This window comes from Homo sapiens, chromosome 13 (genome assembly GCF_000001405.40).
Source record: "Homo sapiens chromosome 13, GRCh38.p14 Primary Assembly".
In the NCBI taxonomy this organism is placed as follows: domain Eukaryota; kingdom Metazoa; phylum Chordata; class Mammalia; order Primates; family Hominidae; genus Homo; species Homo sapiens.
The window spans coordinates 95,651,853-95,657,852 of NC_000013.11; positions in this window are offsets into that span (position 1 = coordinate 95,651,853).

Genomic DNA, 6,000 nt, shown 5'->3' on the forward strand with positions numbered 1-6,000 from the left:
AAATCAGTAATGTCATAATTGACCTGAAAGGCACTATCGACCAACTTGATCTAATTGATGTTTATAGGATATTCCATCTAATAACAGCAGATCACATATTCTTTGCAAATTCACATGGAATGTTCACCATGATAGACATTATGGGCCATCGAACACATCTTAACAAAAGTAAAAGAATAGAAATCATACAAAGTATGTTGTCAGACTACAATGGAATTAAACTAGAAATCAATAGCAGAAAAATAACTGGTAAATCCCCAGATATTTGGAAATTAAACAATATACTTCTATATAATACATAGATCAAAGAAGAAATCTCAAGAAGAATTTGCAAATATTTTGAACTAAATGAAAATACAACTTATCAAAATTTGTGCAATGCAACATAAGCAGGGCTTAGAGGGAAATTGGCAAAAATGGCCAGGTGGCAGTCTCAACTTCCAGTCCAATTGAATCATTAATGTCTTCCCTTGAACTGGCTCAGGGCTGGAAAATAGGTTAAAAAAACAACAACAACCAAACTTACCTTTCAAGGAAGTTGGCTCAGTCCTGGCATTTGCGGTGGGGTGGGATGGGAGGGTCAAATATTAGATAACCTACAGTTTGATTAAATATCACATTTTGGAGTCCTGTGATTAATTTGTCACAGCCAGATATTCATGAAAGTCAGACTAGGTTTTGGAATCTGATTACAATGGCCATGTTCCTATCTGTTAGCATAACCAAGATCAGTTTATCTTTGATGGTTAATAACTTCCAAATGGGCACAGGCACTCTGAACTCCTCCCATCCCTTTGAGATCTGGGAGCCCATTTCAGTGGCAGCTCCTGCAGCCAGCATTTCAAGTCCAGAGGAGGCTTTTTGTAAAGAGCTGTCTGCTCCCTCTGGGGTAGATACAGAATTAGTTCACTACGCTTCCATGCTGCTTTCCTCTGATGTGCCTTCCTGCTCTGCAGAGTTTAGAAAGGTAAAAACCATGCTTCTGGACTCCTTTCCAGCTCATATTCTGGAAACAAATTGGTTTCTGCCAATTAGATCTACTCTTGAATGATTTGAAAGGCAGAAGTGAGAAAGAGGCTATTTTCCTGCTGGGTTGGCTGGTATGCTGGGTTACGAGGATGAGTATCATAGGCAAAGGCAGCAGCTGAACTCAGCGTGTCTGGTCACAACTTTCAAGGGTGTCAAGTGGCTGCTGAGACAGAAGTGGCTGCACTGACTTTTTTTATTGGAGGGTAGAACTCCTGAATGTAACACTTCCAATGCTGCCCTCCCCACCCCACGTTCCAGCTTCTCTAGCCCTTTAGAAGACTGTGCAAGCATCTAATTCTATGCAGGTTCCTTGCTGCTTACAATACCCAGAGGGGTTTCCATTTCCTACACTAAAACCATACTGATACCCCTTACCAACCTATATTTTTTATAACTAAGATAAAAGTTTCTATCAAAGATGTGGTGAGGAGGGGTCTAGACTGGATGAGCATAATCTATCTAATTTTTTATTCCCTTTTCCTGAAATTTTAATATTACTTCCTTTATACTTGTTAAGGGATTTCCGATTTGGGGGATTTCTGACTTTGTGGGACAAAGTTCAGTGTATCTTTGCATTGAATAGTCTTTCTCCAACTTGTTAGCACCCTGAATACCTAATTTCTGGGAGGTGCCCATATCTGTACATTTGATCTGATTCAAAATATGGACCATGTTCCTTGACCTAATAGCCTTAAAATCTATTCCCACAAATATTCTCTCAAGGTTTGAGGATATAAATTAGGAAGTTCCCAGAACTTCTAGATTTCTAACTCTTCTGTAGCAATATTTAACATCACCCCACCAAACCTCACCAGGCCATGCTAATTTTGCATTCTGGTTGCTGTACTGACAGTGTGGCTTGGCTCTTCAAAGAGAAAATATTAGTTCTCACGTGCAAAGGTGGCAAAGCTTCCTTAACCAAAGAAGGTGGAGGATAAACTTGAGGATAGTTTGAGGACTTCAGATCCTCTATGTCAGTTGTTATAAAACTTAAGACTTGTTAAAACACAGAAAGATGTTCTCACCCTTAAAGTCTCTGATTTAGTAGGTTTGGGATGAGGTCAGAAAATCTGCATTTCTAACAAATTCCCAGGAAATGCTATGCCATTGTTCTGGGGATCACACTTGAAGACTCACTGCACTAAGTTTTCCTGACTCTCTTAGATGTTGCCATTTCCACTTCTGTCAGGATCCACTGTGTTCTGATTAGTTCTCCAACTTTTTCATCAGAAAGACTTAGAAAGACCAGGCGCAGTGGCTCACGTCCGTAATCCCAGCACTTCGGGAGGCCGAGGTGGGTGGATCACCTGAGGTCAGGAATTCGAGACCAGCCTAGCTAACGTGGTGAAACTCCCCGTCTCTAAAAAAAAAAAAAAAAAAAAAAAAAAAACCTGGGAGTGGTGGCCCGCCTGTGATCCCAGCTACTTGGGAGGCTAAGGCACAAGAATTGCTTGAACCCAGGAGGAGGAGGTTGCAGCGAAGCCGAGATTGCACCATTGCACCCCAGCCTGGGTGACAAAGTGAGACTCTATCTCAAAAAAAATATTTATATATATATACACATATATATATAATATGTTATATATATAAAACATTTCAAATATGAAACTTCCCTTATTCTCCCTTATCCCCTTACACAGAGGTAAGTGCTATTCACTACAGATTTGTCTTGCTTATTCTTGAACTTCATGTAAATGGAATTATACGGTACCCAGTCTTTTGTGTTTGCCCTTTAGTAATCATATAAATGAATACATCACAGATTTTTCATTTTTTTAATCCACTCTGTTGATGGACACATGAGGTGTTTTCAGTTCATAGCTATTAAGGCTGCTATGAACATTACTGTACAAGGCTTTTTGTGGACATTTGATTTTATTTCTCCAAGATTAATAATACCTAGGAGTGGAGTAACTAGGTCATAGAGTAGATATGTGTTTAACATTTTAATATATTACCAGTTTTTCAAAGTGGTTGCACCATTTTATACTCTCACCAGCAATGTATGAGAATTCCATTTGCTTCACACGCTTACGACACCTGATGTTGTCAATTTTTTTCATTATAAGACATTCTGGTGGGTAGGTAATGGTATCTCTATGGGTTAATTTGCATTCCCCTGATGACAAATAATATTGAGCACATTTTCATCTGTTTATTGCCCGTTCAACCCATTCCTTTATGATTACTTATATTTGAATGAGTGCATTTTTCTTAAAACTGCTTTTGGAGGAAGTTTGCATTGTTTAAAGATAAACATAGGCAAATTATAATTTTAAAGTGTTTATTTGAATAGATAGTGATTCATGAATTGGGGAGCTCCAGAGGCAAGTAGTTTGGGGTGCTCCAAAGAAGGGTAGGTGGAGAAGGATGTTATAAGGGGAAAGTAGAAGCAAGGCAAAGAAAAATATCGGTTGGTTTAAGACGAGTAGTAGCCTTATTTGGATCATTCTAGCGGGAAGTCCCAAATTAGAGGTTAATTGGTGGTTTCTGATTGGTTAAACTTATTTCATTTTACTGCTTCCACTGAGTTGAGTTTCAGTTTCTGTAGGTAGTGCTGGAACCTCCTCCTTCTAATGGCCTTCCAATTAATGATTTTTCTTTTTTTTTGAGACAGAGTCTTGCTCTGTCACCGAGACGGGTGTTCAGTGGCACAATCTTGGCTAACTGCAACCTCCACCTCCTGCCTCCCAGGTTCAAGCAATTCTCCTATCTCAGCCTTTCAAGTAGCTGGGATTACAGGTGCGCACCCACCATGCCCAGCTAATTTTTGTATTTTTAGTAGAGACAGGGTCTCACCAGGAGAACTCCTGACCTCAAATAATCCACCTGCCTTGGCCTCCCAAAGTCCTGGGGTTACAGGCGTGAGCCACCAAGCCCGGCCCCAGTTAATGATTTTAACAGTATTGTGGAAGAGACTGGGGCTGTGTCCTGTGTTCCACATCAGCTATAACTTTTCTTAAGGCCCATATTTTTTAATGAATTCTTTTATTTTTATTTCTTCTGTACAAAAGGAGACAAGTAGCTGTAAGGCTGTTCCCCACGTAAAGTTTCTCTTCCCTCTGCCAAAGGGATAAATTGCTTGCTGGAAATAATAAATGTATTGCCTTTCAGGCTGTATTAGACCATTCTCACACTGTTATTAAGAACTTCCATGAGACTGGGTAATTTATAAAGGAAAGAGGTTTAATTGACTCACAGTTCCATGTGGCTGGGGAGGCCTCAGGAAACTTACAATCATGGTGGAAGGCAAAGAGGAAGCAAGCACCTTTTTCACAAGGTGGCAGGAGAGAGAAGGAGTGCAAGAAGGGGGAAGAGCCCCACACTCATCGAACAGCCAGATCTCTTGAGAATTCATTCATTCACTATCATGAGAACAGCATGGGGGAACCTGGACCCATGATCTAATCACCTCTCACAAGGTCCCTCCCTTGATTATGAGGATTACAATTCGAGATGAGATTTGGGTGGGGACACAGCCAAACTTTATCACAGGCCCATATCTTTTGCCTCTTGGAACCAAAGTGTCTGAGTAGCTTCTGTCACCAACCAGCACATATCATCGTTCTTGTTGCAAACACGGTATTTGGGTTTTGCACCACAGGATATGTCTCTAATCTTGGAGGAGTATCTTGCCACATTTTTTTGAGGTGTGCAGTAGCAGGCATTCTCTTCTGATTCCTCTACTGTTTGTCATCCCTCCTATTTACTTTGGGATTTGAGTTTCAACACTTTCCTATATTTTGTAATTTGCTTTCCCCCTTTTCATTATATTGTTGCTTTGGGTAATTTCCAAGAAAGAAAGTGAGAAATGCTGACTTTGAGACAGAATAGGATGAGGCTCAGCCCACATCCCCACTAACACATTTTTCTTTTCCATATCTGCCGACTACCAGACTTTGCACCACCACCTCCACTGGCATTATAACCTCTGACTGGGAGATCTTGAAGAAACTAAGATAAGCAGCATTCCACCATAAATCTTACTCAAGACACTTAACCCTATCCATGGCATGCACACAAGACCAGAAAAATGACTGATCCTCATTATAATACTAAAATCTCTGCCCAAGGAGGGGCTTATCCACCATTTTTTTGATCATGCAATGTATGTACTAACATGATTTCTCACTGTGCCTGCACACCCTGCATGCTTAACCCTGCACATGCAATGACGTTCACATACCTCATGCTTATTCATGTCACCCTTCTTAAAGCACCAAAAAGACCTGCCCTCGGGGAGCCCCTCGGAGAATTTCTTCTTCCTGTACTGTATCTCTTGTGCTGGAGCATAAGCCCCAATAAAGCCTTGTCAGGGAAACTTTCTCAGCCTCATGCTAGTTTCTATTAAATGACAGTTTATGAACCTGTGGGCAGTGACAACTTGACACAGCCATCCTCAAAATAGAAATTTGGATAAATACCATTTACCAAGTTAAAGTAGTTTCCTTCCACCTTTTGCTGAGATTTCTTTCTTTTAAACATGAATGAGTGCTGTATTTGATCTAAGGCTGTATCGAATCTGTTGGAATGATTATTTTTTCATCTACTTGTTAATTTGATATGTTTCATTAAAAGGTGTTTTGATATCAATCTATCCTTGTATTCCTGGATAACGTCTTCTTGGTTATCTTCATCCTCTTTTTCGCTGCTGAGTTTGATTTGGAAATATTCTATTTAAGATTACTTTATTCGCATAATTTGGTGAAAATTTTTCTTTTTTTTCAGTTGTAGCATCAAACTTTATAACATGAGTTGGTGAGATTTTCCTCTTTTTTAAAATTCTCTGAAATACATTATATAAGATAGGGCTTACAAATCCGTCTGGGCCAAGTGGTTTTTTAAATAATATGTATAATTACTCATTTTTTAAAATAGCTATTGGTTTATCCAGGCACTCTATTTTTCTTTTCCTCTCCATTTTAAAATTTATCGGCATAAAGACATTTAATGTCTTATAAATTAAAACAT